Source organism: Homo sapiens, chromosome 3 (genome assembly GCF_000001405.40).
Source record: "Homo sapiens chromosome 3, GRCh38.p14 Primary Assembly".
Classification (NCBI taxonomy): domain Eukaryota; kingdom Metazoa; phylum Chordata; class Mammalia; order Primates; family Hominidae; genus Homo; species Homo sapiens.
Window position 1 is genome coordinate 161287794 of NC_000003.12, and position 24808 is coordinate 161312601.

The 24808-nt window shown below is 40.0% G+C and overlaps 1 long non-coding RNA gene across 1 annotated transcript; it reads left to right on the forward strand.

Annotated features, from left to right (window-relative positions):
• Positions 1 to 1478: 1478 nt before the first annotated feature.
• On the forward strand, positions 1479 to 24210 carry LOC112268450 (uncharacterized). The gene is made up of 2 exons (XR_002959658.2): positions 1479 to 9908; positions 24082 to 24210. It is a non-coding gene; the product is annotated as an uncharacterized LOC112268450 (long non-coding RNA).
• The last annotated feature ends 598 nt before the right edge of the window (positions 24211 to 24808 follow it).

Sequence of the window (24808 nt, forward strand, 5' to 3'; positions counted from 1 at the left end):
TGTGGTGGCTCATGTGTGTAATCCTGGCACTTTGGGAGGCTGAGATGGGCAGATCGTTTGAGCCTGGGAGTTCGAGATCAGCCCGGGCAACATGGTGAAACCCAGTCTCAACCAAAAAAATAAAAAAATTAGCCAGGTGCTGTTGCATGCACCTGTAATCCCAGCTGCTTGGGAGGCTGAGGCAGGAGAATTGCTTGAACTTGGGAGGTAGATGCTGCAGTGAGCCTAGATCGCTCCACTGCTCTCCAGCCTGGGTGACAGAGCAAGACTTTGTCTAAAAAAAAAAAAAAAAAAAAAAAAAAAGTTAAGTGCTTTAAATGCCAAACAGTCAGCTATAGGATTTTGTTACCGAAGAAAGTCAAATGGAAGCACCTGACAGATGAAATCTGGAGATGGCTAAATAAAAGCAGTGACTGTAGAGATTTTCCCAGTGACCATACTTGACCAGGATCAGAAAACCTCAGGATCGGGAATCAGGCTTTCTTGGTCTTGCCTCCTGCTTTGCTGTGAAACCTGGGAATGTAGTTAGCCTCTCTGTCTTAACCTGTTTTTCTGTCTACCTCAATAGGGATTATGAATATCATACACAATGACAAATGGTAAAGTATCTTGAAAATGGAAACTTCTGTACTATTTAAGATGTTGTAGTTACTAATTAATTCTGGTTTATGATGCAGTTTAAATGAGGTTCATTTTTTATTGAAAATTGATTATTTCCTCTGTTATGATAGTATTCTATTGATAATATTTATTTAATCAAAACATCATTATTTGTCCACAGACAAATAGTAACAGTGCTGCCACTGGGGTCTAGGCAACCTGATTCACAACCTGGGGTACTTCTCCAGGGTCTTCAGGTCAACTGAATTTAGTGCTGCCTGGAACCTCACTTCCTCTTTAATTTTGCATAACTAGACTCTTGCCTAGTAGTGTTGCTATTATCTCTTCGAAATAGTGGAGAGACATGACTTATGGCTCTAATGTATTCTCATAGCTTCCTTACTGGTCATGGACTTTTTCTTCCCATATAGGCATAAGTATCTGGGCCCCAGCCTATATCCTAGAGATTATACAGATGGCTGCAGGTAAGCGGGTGTTCCCTAGTTAATGTCTACAACCATTTGTGTAGAATAGCCTGGATCTCCAGGGAGGCTCTCTTCTCTGGTGGCCTTGGGAGCTGGCAAAGTTACCACGGAGATCCTTGCCTGGAGTGATCGTGAGAGCCAGCCACACCAGAGGCTCAGGTGGTTCCAGGTTTTTTTTTTTTTTTTTTTTTTTTTTGAGAACGGAGCCTCGCTCTGTTGCCCAGGCTGGAGTGCAGTGGTGGTATCTCAGCTCACCACAACCTCCACCTCTCAGGTTCAAGCGATTCTCATGCCTCAGCCTCCTGAGTAGCTGGAACTACAGGCACGTGCCACCACACTTGGCTACTTTGGGTATTTTTAGTAGAGATGGGGTTTTGCCCTGTTGCCCAGGCTGGTCTGGAACTCCTGGCCTCAAGTGATTCGCACAAAGTGCTGGGATTACATGTGCGAAAAACCACACCCAGCTGGTTCCAGGCCCTCTCTAAGGCACCAGACTTTTCCATCTGCATTCTGACTCACATAGTCAGACTTAAATCCCCAGGGCCCACCAAGAATAGCCCAGAACTCCTTGAGGGAGCCCTAGAACTGACCAGTGTTCTGAGGCATCTTCCAGGCTGAGCTACATGAGCCATTAGCAGACCTTGGGTGAGAGCTAAAATTATCATAAGCCATGTGCTCCCCACTTATGTCCCGGGGTTCCTCTCGGGCATCTCCGGTGTGTTGTGGAGCATCTGTGATAGAGGACTGTTGTCAGCAATCAGCTCTGTCTGCCAGAGGGGCACCAGCAGCTCTTTTCTGAGGAGGAGGCTGTCCCTCAAAGAGTCTTAATTGTGAGGCCAATTTTATTCTCATCATTATACTTTCCTTTGAAATGGCTGTTTCCTATTTCAAGACCCAGCTCAAATGCTACTTTTTCCCCTGTAGGCTCCCAATTTGAACAGAATAATTGACTCCATAAAGTGCTGTCTGTGTGCCATAGCATTTTTTTTTATTTTGATATGGAGTTTCACTCTTGTTGCCCAGGCTGGAGTGCAAGTGCCATAGAATTTTATCTACATCAATAGTGAAACTAGCATTTTATCTACATCAATAGTGAAACTTAACACACAAGTATCTAAAATGTGTCTGCCTATGTCAATAACACGTTTATTGACTTAATTCCCTCAAAAAACAGTATGATGGAGATAAAAGACAGACATTCTATTTCTAATTATTTCCACAAATTTATTGAGAACCTACTAACAGGTTAGACACTGGCATGACCTGAAGATGCAATTATGAATAAGACACACATAATGCTTGCCTTCAGGGAGCTTTCAGTCTTTTCTACTTTCATGTCTTGATTCCTCAATTCATTTTTGCTTTCCCTGATAAATCAAATGTTGCTTCAGGTGGTGGTGAGCCAAGTCGGACTATTCCTTCTTGCTTACCTGAGAGGTGAATGAACATCCAGGGGAAGGGGCTGCTGCTGCTGGTGGTAGGAGAAGCAGCAGGTGGCTTGGCAGAATTATGTCCTCCTTCTGACTGCACTCATGATGATTGTAGCATGCCCAGTTTCTTCAGTTCTCTCCAACAGGAACCACAGATGATCTCAGTGGTGGCCTTGTGCATCTTGCTAATCACAGGTTGGGTCTTGTGAGTGTAGGCTTGATCTCCTGGAGTAGGTACCCAGAATGGATAGAGCCAGGGGGCAACAGGAGGCCAAACCAAAAAAGCCAAGTCCATTTCAGATCCAATGGGATGAATAGTGAGGGGCAAATTTCTAAGTTTAGAGGTGATATTGGACAAGGATGAAGCTTGTTGTTGTAGGAGAAGCTGGAGATTAAGAGTTAGGTAGTTAGTGGATCCAAGAGTTTTGTGGTAAAAAGAACTGGGATGTCCAGAGCTCTCTGTTCTTGAATTTCTGGGATTACTTAAAGAGACAGGGCTATGGTCAGGCACGGTGGCTTGTGCCTGTAATCCCAGCACTTTGGAAGGCCGAGGTGGGAGAATCGCTTGTGCTCAGGAGTTCAAGCTCAGCCTGGGAAGCATAGCAAGACCTGGCCTCCACAAATAATTTACAAAATTAGCTGGGCATGATGGCATGCGCCTGTAGTTCCAGCTACTCAGAAGGCCGAGGCAGGAGGATTCCTTGAGCACTGGAGGTCAAGGCAGCAGTGGGCTAATACTGTGCCACTGCACTTCAGCCTGGGTGACAGAGCAAGACTCTGTCTAAAAGAAAAAAAATACAAGGCTAGGTCAGACAGTGGTGTGTAGTTCTGTGGGCACAAACAAAGAATCATAAAATGTAGTCCTTGCCCCTTAAGGAACCTATATTCTAGCTGTGAAAGAATAATCACACTTTTAAAAAAAGAATGGAGTAAGATGAGATTACATTTAATCAAAGACTAGAGTACTAGAGTACAGGTGTTTGTAGAAGAGGGTTGGGTCAATGTGAGCTAAAGGCTTGGGAAGGTCTTGTGTGCCTCAGGGCACAGGCAGGGTTCAGAGATCCTGGCTCATTCACAGCCAGCAATACATGTCATATAGTCACCTCCCATGCTAGAAACCGCAGTGAAGTCTGTGCCCAGGCTACAATTAATGTGAACAAAGCTAAGGACAACAGTAGAATGCTCAGAAGAATGCCATCTTGACCTCAGTCAATTCAACTTTCTCTTTCTGAATACTGTACGAAGAAATCTCAATTATCATGAAAATATTCCCGGCTCTCATAGTTGAGTATGGGAAAGCCAAGAGCTCCCCAAACCCTATTGTGTGGCAAGGAGTGGTGGACAAAAATGGTTGCCTCAGATGCAAGGTTGGCATTTTGCCACATTTGGATGGCACAGGTGGATAGGCCTTTGGGTCTGGGCAAATTTCCCAGCTCCACCTGGGGTCTGACTCACGCTGCCTGCCTGCAATGCCCTTTCTGTGGCATGTTTTCTGTTCTGCTAGATTACCTTTCACTGGTTGAAAAGACAACCTCTCATCACTGAGATTGAAATGTTTAAAAAGACGACATCTCACCACTGAGACTGCAGGCATGCATCTCTTGGTACTAGATGGAGCCCTGTGTCTCCTGGTGTCTCTCCTCAGAGCACACACCTCCCCCAGTTGTGCACATGTCATTCTTGCACTTGTGTTAGGAGGCATGGAATTTTGAGTTTCTTGAGGCATGAAGGAAGATGTGCTCATCAATAACTGTCTTCCCTGCCTTTGCTTTGCCAGTAGGAGAGAGCTGGATAATAAAACTTGTGATTTATTTGGACCAACTGCATTAGGAATTAACAGTGGTGATTTAATTCCAGTAATGCTTGACCTCTTCTTCTGCATTTTGTCTGTTTCTTCAAGCTGTGCCCCTGCTATAAGTGACTGATAATCACTAATTCTAAACTTGCTTAAAGAGTATAAAAGGGGCTGTGTGCAGTGGCTCATGCCTGTAATCCCAGCACTTCAGGAGGCTGAGATGGGTGGATCGAGACCAGCCTAACCAACGTAGTGAAACCCCGTCTCTTCTAAAAATACAAAATTAGCCTGGTGAGGTGGCGCATGCCTGTAATCCCAGCTACTTTGGAGGCTAAGGCAGGAGAATCGCTTGAACCTGGGAGGCGGAGGTTGCAGTACCGGAGATTGTGCCATTGCACTCCAGCCTGGGCAACAAGAGTAAAACTCCATCTCAAAAAAAAAAGAGTATAAAAGGGTACATGTCACCTGAAATCTCAATAGAATTTTATTTGTCACCACATAATTTTGTAAGACTTTCAAAATATTTCCTGAATTATTACCACATGATTGAAAAGTCCAGACAACTGGCTGGCTCATTTTTTGACTGACTGACTTACCTTTACAAGTGTTTTGAGGGGACCTTGCAATTGTAAAGTGATGAGTTTGTTGGTCAATTAATTAATTATTTTAACACGTTTATTGAGTATCTATTCTGTCATGCTCTGTTCTAGCTGTTGGGAATAGAGCAGTGTATAATACGGAAACCTGCCCTCGTTTAGGGGAGACAGATAAATAGAAAACAAAGGAAAGAAAGTAACTGGTGATTTGAGCATGAGAAGTACTGTGGAGAAAAATCAGGGAAGGGCATGTAGGCTGCTTGTTTGGGAAAGCAAGTAGGAAAAACATTTCAGTTTTGAATATTGTTGTATGGAAAGGCATTGCTGAGAAAATGACATTAGAGCTGTCAACCTAAATAACAGAGAGGCTTTCTAAGAGAAAATGGTATTTATTTGGGAAGAGAGCATTGCAATGGGAATATAACTGCCATGGTAAACTATGTGTGCATTCAGGAGATAAAGGCAGACATGGGTTTTTTAAGGGAAAAATGAGGAGGGTTACATAATTTTTTTTGCTTGTTTTTTGAGACAGAGTCTCACTCTTTTGCCCAGGCTGAAGTGCAATGGCCCAATCTATAAAGTAGTTATAACTACCTTATATCCTTTTAGAAATGGGGAGTGATGGATGAATACAAACACAATTTAAAAGAAACTGCAGTGTACTTAGTAGCCTGGAACTGGGAAGAAAGTAGCCATGGCTTTGGAAAAAGCCACCCTCCAGCTTGACCTTGCAAGATGAGGATTCCCATTTCTTCACTCTCCCTGCCGCAGCCTTTCTCCTCTTGCTTGTATTCAGGGTTCCCTCTGGAGCTGGGGGAGGAGGAAAGAAGCAGGATTCTCTGAATCCTCAGCCCTGACTACTGCAGCCCATGTGGCCACATAGCATGGTGGTTAGGAGCACGGACTGAGATCAGACAAACAGTTCATACCCTGACCACCTGGGGTCTGAGTTCTCAGCTCCATCTGTAAAATGAAGATAAAAAATAATAGCTACCTATTAAGAAGGAGGAGGATTAAGTAGGATAATGTCCACAGATAAAATGCATAGCACAGAGCTGATACATATAGACACTATGAATGTCTTGCCTGTTATTTTTATTATTTGACATTCTTTAATTTTGAAAAGACACACTGGACTTGATTAAGATCTGGCTCTTCATTGTCTCCAGTCAAATGTCCTGTGGCGACTCTCTGTGGTACTGACCCTTCACATCTTGGTTTGATATGGCTTACTGCAAATAAAACAAAACCAATATGAATAGTGAATAAATCCAACAACCACAGCCAGCTTTCCACTTCCTAAAAACCTCAGTAATGCTAAGGATGGGGCCACACAGAGATGCAAGGAAGAGAGGACAGTGAGGAGGGAGCTGCATCAGGAACTACCTGTACTTTGTAACCTCATCCCCCTCCTCCCAATACCTGTGAGCACTTCTTCAGGTTCTGTTAGTAGAAAATGATGTAGCCAAAGAGGATTGAAAAGTCCAATTAAATATATTTTACTTAATTGTGTTAGAATAAAAGAAAGGTTTTTTCAAAAAGCTCACGTGTTTGGTAATTTTTTTTTCACCATATAAACATGTTGAACCACTGACCTTTGTGCAGAGAGAGGGTACAGTGGAGGGAGTGTATGGCGGTGGACTCCCAGGTGCAGGCTGTATAAACTTTGGTCAAGTCTGAAGCTTCTACATCTGTAAAATGGGGAGAACATTTTCCTCACAAGGCTGTTGAGAGGATTGAGGCACGTGGTGTGTGGGAAGGGTCCTAGCCAGAATAGGTTTTTAATGATGTTAGTGTGATTTTTTTGAAGCCCTTTCTTCAATTTTTTCACTTTTTTTGCCACATCATTGGAACTGCTTAATTATTCAGGATTTTTATATCGAGTTTATGGATTATGGAAGCCCTTTGCTAATAGGTTTATCTCCTGATGACTTTTAAAACTGCAATATAACTGCATATCAGCATGTCAATTATGAGAAACAGCAAACAATTCAACATCGATACTGCTGAATGCCTTGGTAAAATGGTTTTTATAAAAAGGAGTTTGAAAGTATAGTTAAAATATAACTTCATGTTTTTAATGTTTATTTGACCTATGGACATAGTTTGCAAGTTGATAGTTTTTCTCACTTTTAAAGTTTTTTTTTCTGATTATGCACTTATCACAAAAATGTGAAGATCAGAATAAAATCACCCATAATCTTATTGCCAAGAAATAACCACTTGTAACTTAATTTTTTCCCTTTGATATGCATAGCTCTTTATATGACTTTTTCCACTTAAAAGTATATCTTAAGTATTTTCCCAAATTACTAACATTGAAATTGCTTTCATAATGGATGTACTGTGATCTACATAATTATTTTCCTAATTTAGACAATAAAGTTTGCCTAAGCTTCTTCACAAGAAATGCTTTTGAATGTGAGCTTTTGTCTGCATTTCTAATTAATACCTGAGCGTGAATTCCTAGGAGTAAAATTATTGGGACAATCTTATTTATTAATTGTGGTGTAACAAACCACCTTAAAACTTAGTGACTGAAAACAACACTAATAATTTATTTGCTCCCAATTTTGCAATTTGGGAAGGGCTCTTTGGGGACAATTTGTCTCTGTTCCACATAATGTTAGCTGAGGTGACTTCACTGGGGCTGGAGACCCACTTCCAAGATAGCTCACTGATACAGCTGACAAACTGATGCTGGTTGGTGGCTGGAGGCATTGAGTGCCCTCCAGATGGACTTCTCTACTGGGTTCCAGGAGAGAGGAAGTGGAAGCTGTTAGTTCTCTTAAAGGCTAGGCACAGAACTGGCAGAGTGCCTTCCACCATGCTCCATTGCTCAAAGTGGTCACAGGCCAAATTCCAGAGTGTGGTTAAAATAGGCCACACCTCTTTCCAGGGGATGGGTCAAAGAATTTGTGGCCATAATGAATTTACCACAAAGAGCATATTGTTGAAGGGTCTTTATGCATATTAGCAAATCACTTTCCAGAAAGGTTGTCTATCATTACACTCACCTACATTAAATATTAAAAATTTTAAAAATCTCTACTTATTCATTTGGTGAAATGTGGGATCTCATTGTTTTACTTTGAACTTACCTAGTGCACTTACACAGACTTGATAAAAATTTATATTTCTTCCTTTGTGTAAGAAAGAAATATAAATTTCATTTTTGGAGTCAATTTGTTTAAGTGTTAACAATCTTATAGAATTACAGGAGTTGTTTATATGTATTATTGACATTAAGAATGTGTCACAGTTGTAAGTATTCCTTTCAGTTTTCTTAATTAAAAATAAAAAACCTCTTCCTCTTAATTGAGAAAAAATTAGACAAAACAATTTCCTATTAAATTCACATGATCTTATGAGTCCGGCTGCCGTGCATTGATCTCAAAACAATGATATATGTTTTACATTTTAATAGAATCTTTTAAGTCAATTTCAGTTTTACTCATCTAACATGTCACCAGAAACCCAGAAATTAGTATGATTTATTAATTATCTTTATTTTGGAGGGACTGAATCCAGAAAGTTTGGATAAGTTTATCAGAATAAAAATGGAGGAACAAAAAACTGTGTCATCATCCCTTAATTTGCTCTTTGTACCTTAACTGGTGGGAAAGCCTCTAAACCTCCCTGAGCCTCACATTTTTAAACTGTAAAGTAGGGTAATAGCAGGGACACTGTGAGGCTTACAGAAGATATTTATGAGGGGCCTAACATGTAATGGTATGTAGTGGGCACCATCATTACTCACCTAAGTTCTCCGTTGTGAACCTAGGAAACGCCTTATTTCCAGAATATCAGAGTAAGTTCTACAGATGGCTTTCCAGGGGGGAATTTGGGTTGTATGAGTGCTGTTATCCAGCCCACCTCAGTTGGTGTCCATTAGTCGGTGGTAGTCGGCACCACATGGTGTGTTGCACAGGGATGCAAACTCGATGCCTTGCCCTAATGGCACATCACTAATGTCAGGCCACAGCTGGAGCAACTGTCTCTGGGATTGTATGATACACTCCTTGAGAATGACTCTTGAGGAGCTTCTTGGAAGAATTTGATGTCCAATCTTAATATTCTGAGAGTTCCATGCTAGTATTGTGACTAATTATACCTTATACCACTTGCGTGCCACTTGATAGTTTTCACAGGACTTTATGTGTTTTTGTCTTCTTTGATCTTCACAGCCATCCTGGGAGGCCAGCCATTCAGATATTATTTCCCTGTTTTACTCACGAGAAAGTCAAGGCTTGAATGGGTTATGACTTGCCTAAAGTTACAAAGTGAGGAAGTGCCAGTCCCAACACCAGATGGCTCCCACAGGCCCCATCCAGAGCATTTCTATTTGATTGTATGCTGCCTAACTCCCCACCGAGGACATAGTAACAGATGGCCCTGAAATGAGGAGGTCTACAGGATGGATTGTTTTTCTCTTTTGCATTAAAATGGGTTTGCAGAGTGTAGTAGCCAGTGTGGATTCTGGAGTCATCTGGAGTCATTGTCTGCATTTGGATGCTGGCTTTATCACTTAGCTCTGTACCCTTTCTTGCAAAAGGAACTCAGATAAAACAAATGTAACTTTCTGAAGTTTTAAGACCAGAAAGGTCAATTTCTATGTTTATTCAAAAGAAACTTAACCTCTCTATGCCTCAGATACTCCATCTGTAAAATGAGAATAACACTGGTAGCTAACTCATAGGACAGTTGGGGGATTACATTAGAACATCTATGCAAAACAAAAGCACAAGGCCCAGAACCATAGTAAACACTAACTAAAGCCTCAGTTCTTTCTTGGTATGATCTGTGAAACCTTCAAAATGTCTGTGCTACTGGCCTTTCACTATGCTTTGTACTTCAGGCATTGGCTTCAGGAAGGCTCTGTTAAAAGAGAACCATCCTCCATGAGACAAGACCTGTCCTTTCCATGGGAGAGGCAGTCATTGACAAGTGTCCTCCAACACATTTTCCCAGTTTATCATATTGGCACTGAAGGAACACTCAGGTAAGTATTAATTGCCTTGAGATTAAAAAAGGAATTCAGCCATTAACCACTCTTAACATTTTGTTGTATTCACTGCCCATTTTATATAACCACTTAAAACTGGAATCATATCGTGTAAAGATTTTTTGTCACTTGTTTTCTTTACTTCGTGTTTATATTATCTTTACATCTTCTTACTAATAAAAAAAACTTGCTTTCACAGTTGCATTGGATTCCATATGTGGAGTTACTATTATTTATTACCAATTTGGTATATGGGACAGTTAGTTTTATTTTCCTGTTGTAAGTAATGCTATAGTAAACATCCTTCTACACACATCTTTGAGATGTTCTGTCTTTATATCCTTAGAATAAATTTCTAGAAGTGTAATAACTAATTCAAAGAGTATATGCAGTTTGAGAAATATTGCTGAACTGCCTCTTAGAAAGTTTTAATTATTTACTACTCCCACCAACAGTATATGTCAGTATCAGGGAGCAATTCATTCCAGCCCTTCCACATTCTCTCATAACCAACTGTTCTTCCCACCCTTCATTCTAAATGTAGTCCTCTATGAAGCCTCTACTTTAGATCAGCCCTTGGTTCCAGCTACATTGTTTCATTTAGTGTCTCCTAAACATCCTCTGTGGGCACCCTCTCTAGGACTTTGCCTTTTTTTTTTATTTCTGGAAATGTCTTCTTCCTCTTATCTCTGCATCATAGATCCTTAATTCAAGTCCTAATTCATATGTAAACTTTCCTGATTGTCTGACTTAGTAAATTACCTCACCCCTGAAATCTCTCAACCCTACATTGTACTCTGTCTTCATCAGTCATTTGGTACTCATCACATGCTGCCTTATCTGTGAATTAGCTTTGTATGCATTCCTATATTGGTTTCTGAAGGACTTGTATAGAACAGAATTACACTTAAAAATTCTTTGTATTGGCTGGGTGCGGTGGCTCACACCTGTAATCCTGGCACTTTGGGAGGCCACCTGAGGTCAGGAGTTTGAGACCAGCCTGACCAACATGGAGAAACCCCATCTCTACTAAAAATACAAAATTAACCAGGTATGGTGGTACATGTCTGTAATCCCAGCCATTCAGGAGGCAGAGGCAGGAGAATCACTTGAACCCTGTTGGTGGAGGTTGTGGTGAGCTGAGATCACACCACTGCACTCCAGCCTGGGCAACAAGAGGGAAACTCCGTCTCAAAAAATAAAAAAATCCCTCGTATTGTTACTGAAATGCCAGGGGTTTGTTCTAGGTCCTACTGCTCACTGCACAGAAAGCTAGTCATTGAGACCATGAGTATTGCCAGGGAAGAAGGCTTAATCAGGTGCTGCAGCCGAGGTGATGGGAGATCAATCTCAAATCCATCACCTTGACCAACTAAAATCAGGGGTTTATATAACATGGAAGAAATGTAACTACATGCAGGAAAACATGAACTCAGGAGGCATAAAGAAGAGGAGTTGGTCAAGAGGCAGCAGGTGGTCAGTTAGGCAGTCATGATGAGTGAAGGGACTGGCTTCTCATTGTTTGGCTGTGTTGATCTGGTAAGTGTCAGTTCCTTGATACCATCTGGGAGGACTTATGGTTGGTTTCTTGTGAAAGGAACTCAGATAAGACAAATGTAACTTTCTGAAGTTTTAAGACCAGAGAGTCAATTTTTATGTTTATTCAAAAGAAACCATAAACATAAGTTCTGTGGGGACAGTTGGGCCGGTTTCAATATCACTCATAACATACATAAACGTGGCTTTGTGTATAACTACACTGTAATATATACGCATGTATAATGTGTATAATAGAACTCCAATGAGGGATCATAATGAAAACTTAAATTGCCTTTTGGTTAACTGCCCTACCAGATCAGACCCTTTCCATTGTTCCAGTCATCAACAAAAAACAGACATCTAGGAGGCTTAGATACTCAGTCTTCTTGAACTTAAACCTCCAGTGTATTATGCTTATCTAAATAAAAAATGATAGGGACTCTTTTTCACATAGCACTTAGGGAATAGCTGGATTCAATTTTAAATCATAAAATTGTAATAAGAATAATCTGGTCAATGTCTAGAATCAGGAATCAAAGCCAATTTGACAAAGGACATATGTACACAAACAATGAAACTAAATATCAATCTTATAAAATATTTAACCTGAAAGATGTAGGAAATCTTAATACTGTTAGTGATAAAAAATGATAGCTCTTTCAAGAAATGCTGAGATTGGGCCAGGTGTGGTAGCTCACGCCTGTAATCCCAGCACTTTGGGAGGCCTAGGAGAGTGAATAACCTGAGGTCAGGAGTTCAACACTAGCCTGGCCAACATGGTGAAACCCTGTCTCTACTAAAAATACAAAAAATTAGCTGGGCATGGTGGCGTGTGCCAGTAATCCCAGCTACTTGGGAGGCTGAGGCAAGAGAATCGCTTGAACACAGGAGGCGGAGGTTGCTGTGAGCCGAGATCACGCCGTTGCACTCCAGCCTGGGCAACAAGAGTGAAACTCTGTCTCAAAAAAAAAAAAAAAAAAAAAAAGGAAATGCTGAGATTGAACAAATGTTCAATAAGTCACATTATGTATATAAGTAGGTACATAATGCAAACATGCCACAAGAAGCTAAAAATTCTATAATTCCATTAATTCCACAGTGCATTTAGAGATAACAATTGCTCTTCATCATTGGTTTTAAATGATCTAGTTAATATTACTGTCAATCTTATAAGATAAGGAATATGAAAAGGTAGTTATGTGACATTTACAATCTTACAGTTTATAGACACAGTTTATAGAGTACATCATCCCACTGGAGTATCATGACCATGCTTTCAGCTAGGCATTAATTGTACAAATAAATAATTGGAAATTCAAGGTGGTTAAAAACTTGGTTAAAGCCATACAACCAATAAGTGGGGTCCCCAAATCTTGCACCTGGGTTTGTTTGGTTCTCAGTGTAGTATGCACTCCCCTGTAACCTGTGCTTCTACTGCATATTAAGAGCGAGTTTCAGGTTCAGAAGCCTTGCCCTGCATCAGGGTCTTTACAGTGGTAGTTCTCTCTGCCTGGACTGTTCAGCATGCAGATGTACACATACTTGTCTCACTCCCTTACGTCCTTAGTTCTCTGCTCAAATGTTGCTTTATTTGTGAGTTCTTTCTTAACTAGTTACGATACTAATAATCCCCATCTCTCCACACTTACCTAAGAATTTCTTCACTTTTTTTCTTGCTTTATTTTTTCTCAAAGCACCTATCACCATATGACATATTATATATTTACTTGCTAACAATAGCATGTAAGATCCATAAGGACAGGAATATTTATTCTGTGCCCTACTGTATCTCAGCCCTAGAGCAGTGTGGGCACTTAGCAGGCATTCAGTAAATATCTGTAGGATATAAGCAAGTTAAAAAAATAAATTCATGTACTTTCAAGTTTGAATTTGTAGCAGAACATTGGTATTGGTATTGCAGTTAGTCAGGTATGAATTCAGAAATGAAGCAGCAATTGAGCAGGGAGCTAAGGAGGTTGAGGGAGTGAGACAAGACATAGATGTCTGCGTGATGAACAGTCCAGGCAGAGAGAACTGAAAATGTAGAGATGCTGAGCTGGGATAAGGCTTCTAGGGCAGTGTAGTCTGAACTGCCTGATTTCTAGCTCTGAGTTCTTCATCCATCCATTTATTCATTCACCATGCTTTGCTTTTCTTCATACCCCTTATCACCACCCAAAACTTGATTTTATATATATATAAAAATGATGTATTTATACATCATATATATATACATATGTATTCTTATTTGTCTTCCTCCTTATTTCATTCTAATATAAGCTCCAAGAGGGCAGGGGCTTTGCCTTGTAAAATGCCACACCTTCACATTGAGAACAATGACATAAAATAGGAGTCCAATAAATATCTTTTATTAAATAAATAATTAATTAATATATTAATTTAAAAACATTTGTTGAGCACCTACTATATGCCTGGCATAAGCTTTGTCTTTAATTTCACGAGAGAGAAAAATGAGTCAACAGAAAATTGCAGCACAGGTAAGATCTGCCATGGAAGGGGGAACACTGCTATAGGGACTCCTAACCCAGCTGTGAAGGGTCAGGAGAACTTTAAAGGCAGGATTATCCTGAGCTAAGCTTGAAGAATGACAGCACTTGCAAAGGGGCCGGGCCAAGCAAGGACAGGCAAAATCTTAGAAGTGGAAACATTTTGATATGGTGGCAGGCTGGGACTCAGGGTTGGAGGAGAAGTGTCCAGAGGAAGCCGGAAAGCCAAGGGGTTCATATGACATGCAGGCCCATTGGACTTTATTCTGAGCTCAATGGAGAAATCTAAGCAGGGATTCGACATGAGCAGATTTTCTTTATTATCCCACTGTTAGCATTTGAAAGGAAGGACAAGGTAGCAAAAATCAATCTTCATATCAGATCCACAAAGTCAGTAAATTGTAGGTTTGACACAACGAATGAGCTCTTCAGTTGGTTAGGCACAGGCATGAGATGGGACTTTACTTCCCAATTAACCTTTAGCCTGGCTGGCGAAGAAACCCACTCCTAGGCCCAGCCTTCCATAAATGGGGACTGAAATGTCCTATGATCAGGTGGAGACAGCCTAACCCCTGTACAAGCTCTTGGTGACAGTTTGTGGGTGTCTTTGAAAAGCTTGACAGAGGCTTTCTCTCTAATGTAAAAAATGAAGTGAAGCTGTGAAATTGAAATATCTTGAAAAGCTAGTAATTCATACGCTAGATAATTCTAGAGTAACAGAAAGATAAAACTCCTTTCTTAAATTATGCATATGATTTAAAATAATACATGCAAATATTACATTTAATACTTAAAATATTTTTTTTTTCTTGATTGCCCTCCGTTGCCAGGCTGCGGTGCAGTAGCATAGTCTCGGCTCACTGCAACCTCCGCCTCCCAGGTTCATGCCATTCTCCTGTCTCAGCCTCCAGAGTAGCTGGGACTACAGACGCCTGCCACCATGCCCAGCTAATTTTTGTATTTTTAGTAGAGAAGGGGTTTCACCATGTTGGCTAGGATGATCTCCATCTCTTGATTTTGTGATCTGCCCATCTTGGCCTCCCAAAGTGCTGGGACTACAGGCGTGAGCCACTGCGCCCCGCCAGAAGATTTTTTTAAGCAGTAAGGTGGGTAAGCAGAAAACAAAAGTGGTAATATAAATTGACTTTCATCAAATGTCTAGTTTCTTGAGACCTTATGCCAAATATGTGTCAGCAAGGTCGACCTCTACTTGAGTATAATAGAGAGAGAAATATTAGGGGGCCTGAGAATGTATGTTAGGGCAGGGAGATATGTGCCTATGGGGGAAAACTCCAGCACAGTGAGAGAAAAGACCTGGTGAAGAGTAGGTATCCATTTATTCAGCTCACCTTTGGTTGGATGTTGGCCCTATGTGTGAAAAGCACAGTGTTAACTATATACCTACCAAGATAAAGGGTGTGTAGTTGAATGGTTGCATATATTTGTACATGCAACTATTTTTTTTACATTCAACTTTTTTTTTGATTGAGTGCAACTCACATAACATAAAATTAACTATTTTAAAGTGAATAATTCAGTGGCATTTAGAGCATTCACAATGTTGTACAACTGCCATCTCTATTTCCAAACACTTTTATTTCCCTAAAGGAAATCCTGTATCTGTTAAGCAGTTGCTCCCTATTCCTCCTTCTTACCTGGCCCTGGTAATCATCAATCATCATTCTATCTTTATGAATTTACCTATTCTGGATATTGGTTTGCCTCTGTGTCTCCACCCAAATATCACCTTGAATTGTAATAATCTCCACATGTCAAGGGCAGGACCTGGTGGAGGTAATTGAATCATGGGGCAGTTTCCCCCATGATGTTCTCGTGGTAGTGAGTGAATTCTCACAAGATCTGATGTCTTCATAAGTGGCACTCATTTTTCTCTCCTGCTGCCCTGTGAAGAGGTGCCTTCTGCTGTGATTGTAAGTTTCCTGTGGCCTCCCCAGCCTTGCAGAACTGTGAGTCAATTAAACCCCCTTTCTTTATTCCACTGAATGGAATAATTCAGTGGCATTTAGTACATTCACAGTGTTGTACAACTGCCATCTCTATTTCCAAACACATTTACTGCCCCAAAGGAAATCCTATATTTGTTAAGCAGTTGCTCCCTATTCCTTCTTCTCTCCCGGCCCTCGTAACCACCAATCATCATTCCATCTCTATGAATTTACCTATTCTGGATATTTCAGACAAATAGAATTACATAATATGTCACCTTTTGTGTCTGGCTTCTTTCTCTTAACATAATGATTTTGAGGTTCATTTACCTTGTAGCATGTATTAGTACTTCATTCCTTTTTATGGTTGAAAATATTGCATTGTATGTGTATGCCACAATTTGTTTTTGCATTCACCTGTTGATGGACATACATGCTGTTTCTACTTTTTGGGTATTGTGAATAGTGCTGCTATGAACATATGTGTACATGCACTTATTTGAGTACCTGTTTTCAATTCTTGCCAGTATCTACTGCCCAACTGATTTTGTTTGACAAAGAAGTGAAGCAATGGAGAAAGTGTAGTATTCTCAACTAATGGTGCTAGAGCAATTGGGCATCTATAGACAAAAAAATAAACCATGACCTAACCATGATACCTCATATTAATATTAATCCAAAATGGATCATGAATTTAAACATAAAATGTAAAACTATACAAACTCCTAAAAGAAAACATAGGGAAAAATCTTCTAGACCTAGGGCTAGGTGAACAGTTCTTAGATATGACATCAAACACACCATCCATAAAAGGCAAAGTTAGTAAATGGGTCTGTAAAAAATTTAAAATGTTTGTGCAGCAAAATAATCTGTTAAGAGTAAGAAAAGACAAGTTACATAGAAAACATTTACAAACCACAAATTTGACAAAGATCTTATATCTAGACTGTACAAAGAACTTTCAAACTCGACAGGGAAAAACCAAACAGTCCAACTGGAAAATGCACAAAAGACTAGAACAGCTATTTCACCCAAGAAGAGAAACAGATGACAAATAAGCTCATAAAAAGATGTTCAACATTATTAGCTGTTAGGAGAAGGCAAATTAAAACCACAACAAGATATCACTATTCACCTGTCAGATGAGGCAAAATAGTGATCCTACCAAATGCTGGAGAGAATGCAGAGAAACTAGATTTCTCATACATTGTTAAGAATGTCTAGTGGCACAGCTACTGTGGAAAGATATTTGGCAGTTTCTTGTAAATCAAAACATGTACTTACCATAATGACCCAGCAATTGCACTCTTGAGCATTTATCCCAGAAAGATGAAAACTTAGGTTCACACAAACATCTGTAAACAAAAGTTTCTAGCAGCTTTGCGATAGTCTCAAACTGGAAACAGCCAAACTCTAGTAAATCTATACAGTAGAATATTACTCAGCAATAAAAAGAAATGAACTGTTGATACATGCAACAATCTGGATGAATCTCAAGGGCATTATGCTGAGTGAAAAAAGCCAATTGCAAAAGGTTACTTACATACTGTATAATTCCATTTCTATAACATTTTCAAAATGACAAAACTACAGTGACAGGCATGGGGAGTGGGTGTGAAGATAAAAGGAGAATATGGGGGATTTCTTTGTGGTGATGGAACAGTTCTGAGTCCTGATTGTGGTGGCCATATAAATATATACATGGGATAAAATTGCACAGAACTAAACACACACACACACATGCACACACACACACAAAAATAAGTGAGCACATGTAAAAACTGGTGAAATTAAACAAAGTCTATGGTCTAGTTAACAGAATTATACCAAAGTCAATTTCATGTTTTGATATTGTATATCAGCTGTCACCACTAGGGGGATGCTGGGGAAAGACTGCAATGACTATTTTGCAACTTCCTGAGAATCTATAATTATTTCAAAATAAAGAGTTAAAAAGAAACTAAGTGGTGCTTGGGGATGATGGGATCACACTTGTAATCCCAGCATTTGAGGAGGCTGAGGTAGGAGCATTACTTGAGGCCATGAGTTCGAAACTAGCCTGGGCAATATAGTGAGGTCTGTCTTTATAAAAACAAACAAAAAACCAAAACAAACAAACAAAAAACAAAGCCAGGTGTGATGGGGGCACACCTGTAGTCCTAGCTACTTGAGAGACTGAGGCAGTAGGATTACTTGAGCCCAGGTTTTTTTTTTTTTTTCTTTTTTTTCTTTCTTTTTTTTTTTTGAGATAGAGTCTTGCTCTGTTGCCCAGGCTAGAGTGCAGCGGTGGGATCTTGGCTCACTGCAACCTCTGCCTCCTGGGTTCAAGTGAATCTTGTGCCTCAGCCTCCTGAGTAGCTGGGATTACAGGTGCATGCCACCACACCTGGCTAATTTTTTTTTTTTTTTGTACCTTTAGTATAGATGGGGTTTCACCATATTGGCCAGGCTGGTCTCGAACTCCTGATCTGAAGTTATTCACCCCCCTTGGCCTCCCAAAGTGTTGGGATTACAGGCGTGAGCCACCGCGCCCAGCTGTGCCCAGCGGTTTGAACCTGCAGTGAGCCATGATTGCACCATTGAACTCCAGCCTGCGTGACGGAATGAGTTCCCATCTCAAAACAAAACAAACTAGAAATTAGGTGGCGAGTTAAAAATGCTCATGAGGCTGGGCGCGGTGACTCACATCTGTAATCCCAGCACTTTGGGAGGCCGAGGAGTGCGGCTCATTTGAGGTCAGGAGTTGGAGACCAGCCTGACCAACATAGTGAAACCCTGTCTCTATTAAAAATACAAAAAAAAAAAAAAAAATTAACCGGACATGGTAGCACATGCATGTAGTTCCAGCTACTTGGGAAGCTGAGGCAGGAGAATTGCTTGAACCTGAAGGCCGAGGTTGTAGTGAGCCGAGATTGAGGCACTGCACTCCAGCCTGAGCGACAGCAAGGCTCCATCTCAACAACAACAACAACAACAACAACAAATTCTTATGAAAGTTCTAGGATATACCTGTATTTTATTAATACTTTGAATAAAGGCAACAATGATTTTGAACATAAAAACAGAAGTGTGATATTAGGCTTTGCTGAGCTTTCTCGGTAAGAGGAAGTCCTTGTCTTTTGAGTGCCTGGTGGAGTAGGGAAGATAGTTTGGTAAATGGCACATTGTCTACTGGGAGGTAAGGAGATATAAGCAAACACTTATGATCCCTGAATCAAATGAACTGAGTAATTCCAAGCAAAGTGTGGCAGGAATTTAGAGGAAGGAGATTTTATAGTGGCCTGAATGGCCAGGGAAATATTTCCTGGAGGAGGTGACTTTTAAAGTGACCCTTAAAAAATGGATTTGATTTAGAAGATGAGAAAGAGAATAGGGAAAGCTTCCATGGATGTCTTAGATTTTTTTGGGTTACTATTTTCTTATCAAACTTCTACTTTATCTCAAAGCTTATTCTTTTATGCCTTTAGCCTCTGAAGCTGGATGTATCTAGGCATACAGCTTCAGAGGAGGTGTGCAGGCATACCTTGTTTTATTGCACTTCACAGATGTGTTTCTTACAAATTGAAGTTTTATGGCAAACCTCCATTGAGCAAGTCTATTGGTGCCATTTTCCCAACAGTATGTGCTCACTTTGTGTCTCTGTGACAAATTTTGGTAATTCTCAACATATTTCAAACTTTAAAATTATTATTGTATCTGTTATGTTGATCTGTGATCAGTGATCTTAGATATTCCTATTATAATGATTTCGGGGCACCATGAACTGTGACCGTATAAGACAGTGAACATAATTGATAAATGTTATGTGTGCTCTGACTGCTCCATTGACTGGCCCTTCTCCTATCCCTCTTCCTTTCCTCAGGCTCCCTATTTTCTGAGACAAAACAGTAATGAAATTATGCCTGTTAGTAGCCTTACAATGGCTGCTAAGAGTTCAAGTAAAAGGAAGAGTCCCATCTCTCACTTTAAATCAAAAGCTAGAAATGATTACACTTAGTGAGAAAGGCATGTTGAAAGCCAAGACAGGCCAAAAGCTAGGCCTCTTGAGCCAAACAGTTAGCTGACTTGTAAATGCAAAGGAAAAGTTCTTGGAAATCAGAAATGCTACTCCAATGAACACAAACGATAAGAAAATAAAATGCCTGATTGTTGATATGGAGAAAGTTTCAGTGGTTTGGATAGAAGATCAAACTGGCCACAACATTTCCTTAAGCCAAAACCTAATTCAGAGCAAGGCTCAAACTCTCTTCAATTCTATGAAGGCTGAGAGAGGTGAGGAAGCTGCAGAAGGAAGGTTTGAAGCTAACAGAGCTTGGTTCAAGAGCTTTAAGGAAAGATGCCATCTTCATAACATAAAAGTACAAGGTGAAGTAGCAAGTGCTGATGTAGAAGCTGCAGCAAATTACCCACAAGATCTAGCTAAAATCACTGATGAAGGTGGTTACACTGAACAACAAATTTTCACTGTAGACAAAATAGCCTTCCATTGGAAAAAGATGCTTTTATAACTAGACAAGAGAAGTCAATGACTGGCTTCAAAGCTTCAAAAGACAGGCTGACTCTTGTTAGGGGCTAATGCAGCTGGTGACTTTAAGTTGAAGCCAATGCTCATTTACCATTCTGAAAAACCTAGATCATTAAGAATTATGCTAAGTCTACTCTGCCTGTGCTCTATAAATAGGACAACAAAGCCTGGATGACAGCACATCTGTTTACAGTGTGATTTACTACATACTTTAAGTCCATTGTTGAGACCTACTGCTCAGAAAAGAAGATTCCTTTCAATACACCCAATACACCCAGTCATCTAAGATTTCTGATGAAGATATACAAGGAGATGAATGTTGTTTTCATGCCTGCTAATATATTTATTCTTCAGTCCATGGATCAAGGACTAATTCAACTTTCAAGTCTTATTATTTAAGAAATACATTTTGTAAGACTATAGCTGCCATAGATAATGATTCATCTGGTGGATCTGGGCAAAATACACTAAAAAGCTTCTGGAAAAGATTCACCATTCTAGATGCCATTAACAACATTTGTGATTCATGGGAGGAAGTGAAAACATCATTAACAGGAGTGTGAAAGGCATTCATTCCAACCCTCATAGATGACTTTGCAGAGTTCAAGATTTCAGTGAAGGAAGTAACTGCTGATATGGTGGAACTAGCAAAAGAACCAGAATTAGAAGTGTAGCCTGAAGGTGTGACTGAATGGCTGTAATCTCATTATCAAATTTTAGCGGATGAAGAGTTGCTTCTTACAGACGGGCAAAGAAAGTGTTTTTTTGAGATGAACTCTACTACTGGTGAAGATGCTGTGAGCATTGTTGAAATGACAACAAAGAATTTAGAATATTACATAAACTTGGTTGATAAAGCAGTGGAGGGGCTTGAGAGGATTGACTCCAATTTTGAAAGGAGCTCTATGAGAGTAAAATGCTATAAACAGCAACACATGCTACAGCGAAATCTTTCATGAAAGGATGAATCAATCGAAGTGGCAAGCTTCATTGTTGTCTTATTTTATGAAATTTCCACAGCCACACCAACCTTTAGAAACCATCATCCGGCTTGGTCAGCAGTCATCAACATTGAGGCAAGACCCTTCCCCAGCAAAAAGATTGCTACTCAGTGGAGGCTCAGATTTTTTTTTTTAGCAATAAATTATCTTTTAATAAAGTATGTACATTGTTATTTTAGACATGGTGCTATTGCACATTTAGTAGACTATAATATAATGTAAACATAGCTTTTATGTGCTCTGGAAAACACAAAATTTATGTGGCTAATTTTATGGCAATATTCACCTTATTGCCATGGTCTGGAGCCAGACTTGCAATATCTTTTGGGTATGCCTGTATGATAAAAATGGACCATGGGGACTGGCACAAAATGTGCTTGCTTTGAAGCTTAAAGAGAGTTTAGAGTTAGTGTGTAGTTCTTCCAAGGGAACTTCTCTTTGGAATGGAGAGTACGACTTTAAGTTTTGAGTCCTACTGCCATTTCCTGGGAGGTAGTAAGCTGAAGTCATATAGCTGGAAACTCTGCCAAAATAAGATTATTTCTTCCACTATAGTGTTTTGTCAGGAAGAACTTGAAAAATGAATTGAAACTGGAAATCAAGTACAACTGACAATAAAGAATATTGCCCCATTAGGAACACAACAAACCATTTGCAGTTAATGGAGTCTTGATTCTGTATTTTCTTGTGTTTAAGTATTGGGCTCTAGCCCAGAGAAGCCAAATTCAAAAAAAACTAAATGCCAGATATGAATAGACCCTTGATCACAAGCAATTTATTTCAACATTTGTTGTAATGATGGACTTACATTTTACTTGGTCCTTTTTACTTAATTGGCAATTATTAACTCTCACATATTATTAACTAATAAAGTTATACGATCTTTCCAGTAACTAATTCATACTTTAGGAGAACATTGAAATAGCCATTTAAACTGTCTGTGGAGAAAATATGGCCTCACTGAACCAACTACTTGGGTGCCCTTTCAATTACAGCAAGACTCCCAGCCATTTAGGCTAAAAAGAGCTCTGGAGATTCCCTTATTCAATAGCCTCATTTCACAGATGAGGAAAACAAGACCAGAAGAAGATGCTCCTCTTTCAGGGAATAAGTGGTTTTCAAGCTGTTCGTTCATTCAGTTGTTTGTTACTTGTTCAATCTAAGCACCTATGAGCCAGATATGTATTGTTCTGAGTGCTGGGGATATTGGGACCTGCTCCCAGGGGTCTTACATAGTGTGTATGTGGAAGAGGAATTAGAAAAGACTACACTTTTGGATTAACTAGCAATTTCATCACAGTGGTAAGTGCACTAAAGAAAAGAAGAACAAAGAAGAGAATTCTGATTGGGAGGAAGGGGGTGTTCAGGGAGAATTTTTTCAAGGAGGTGACATTTAGGCTGAGGCCTGAATGATGAAAAGTACTCATCATCTTTGTTATGATAATGGAGGAGGTTCTCACAGGTCGAGGAAGAGCCAAGCCCTGAGGTAGGAGGATGACTAGTCAGTTCAGAGTAGAACACAGCTCAGTGTTAGGTGAGGGCTTGGCATGGCATATTCTGCAGGCCTTGTGGGCTGAGTGAAGACCCTCAGTCTGTGAAAGGTCTACAGAGGACCTGAGGGATACAATTTATATTTTTAAAATGTTTTGTTGAATGTGATGTGGAACGGTGTGGAAAAGGTGGCTAGTTATGGGGCCACCACAGCCAAACCATATGAGAAGGATGTGGTCTAGAGTAGGGTTTGTGGCAGGGCTCAGCAAGAGAAGTGAATGTGTTTAGGATATATTTTAAAGACAGAACTGGCAGGGCTGTGGTTAAATTGGATGTGGGGGTGAGGGTAAATGAGAGAGTGATTAGAAGGACTGAAGCTTTTGGTTTAAGCACATAGGTAGGGCCATTTCCTGAAATGGGAAAGTCTTGAGAGGCGCAGGTTGGAGGGGGTACAGTGAAGAATCAAGGGTAATGAAGAAATAAATTGGTACTGTACAGAGACTGGAAAAAAGAAGAGTAGGCTTATTTTGATAGGGCAGTCGATGAAGGCCTCACTCAGGAGTTGACATTTAAGGTGAGAACTGAAAGGTGTGAAAAGTCAGAGAAGAACATTTCAGATAGAGGGAACCGCAGGTGCAGAGGCTCAGGGGAGGAAGTGGCTTCACAACTCAGAGGGAACCCAAGGGAGAGAGGTAATCAAAGGAGTGGTTTCCGTGTTTCATATTATAACTTAGATGTGATGGAAGAAATGTGCCTTTTTTCTCTTTTTAGCTGACCTGATTTTTCTCATAGGAGTTGAGATTGAAAGAAGGTACCAGGACTTTAAACCTGCCAATGAATCCACCTCTTTCAGATGACTCCATCACCTTTACACCCATGGCTTCCTTTATCTGGAATATTTGGATGAATTGAAAGTCTGTCTCTTAGATGTATTCAATCTAAGAGTTTGTCCCTGGATATTTGTACTAAAATATACTAAAACCAAAAGTCAAAACATCATATTAGTTAATAGAAAATTGTTCTGATATGTGAAGTAAAAGGGAATTGAAAGCATTATTTTCAAATTGACTGTGGCACATACATTTGGCCAAACATGAGTCCAATATATCTCAACCAACTCCAGTCATTGTCTTGCACTTTGCTTTACATTTGTTCCAATAGGATTACATGCTTTGGGTGTGGACGCCAAGAAGTGACAAAAAAAGGAAGTTGGGATCATTACGGTTAACCCAAGCATGTTGGAAACCAGAGAGAGGCTGAGTGCTATCATACACAGACCCATGAATCGGAGTAAGTTTGAAGCATTGACAATAATGGGTTGCAGTGTGTTTTGAAATAAACTATCCATTGGGAGAGGTGAAATGAAATAAAAAATTTATCAGAAATAAAACTACTAAAAAGATTAAATTTGAATTTGACCTACAGGGATTGATCATAATTGAGGAATTTGACCTGTAGGGATAAATTGTTAAACTGAAGAAAGAATTAAAGAATTTGATCCACAGGAACATATTGGTCAATTAATCTGAATGTTCTTTCCTGGCTCTTCACACATTTTAGATCTCACCCTAAATATCAACTCCTGAGTGAGGGCTTCATTTAGCGCTGTATCAAAGTGGCTTTTTTTTTTTTTTTTTTTGAGACAAGGTCTTGCTCTGTCACCCAGGCTGAGAGTGCAGTGGTGCAATAATGACTGACTGTAACCTGCACCTCCTGGGCTCAAGCGATCCTCCTTCCTCAGTTTCCCAAGTAGCTGGGAATACAGGCACATGCTGCCATGCCTGGCTAATTAAATTTTCTTTCTTTTTTTTCTTTTTTTTTTTTTTTTGGTAGAGATGATGTCCTCCTGTGTTGCCCAGGCTCGTTTCAAACTCCTGGGCTCAAGTGT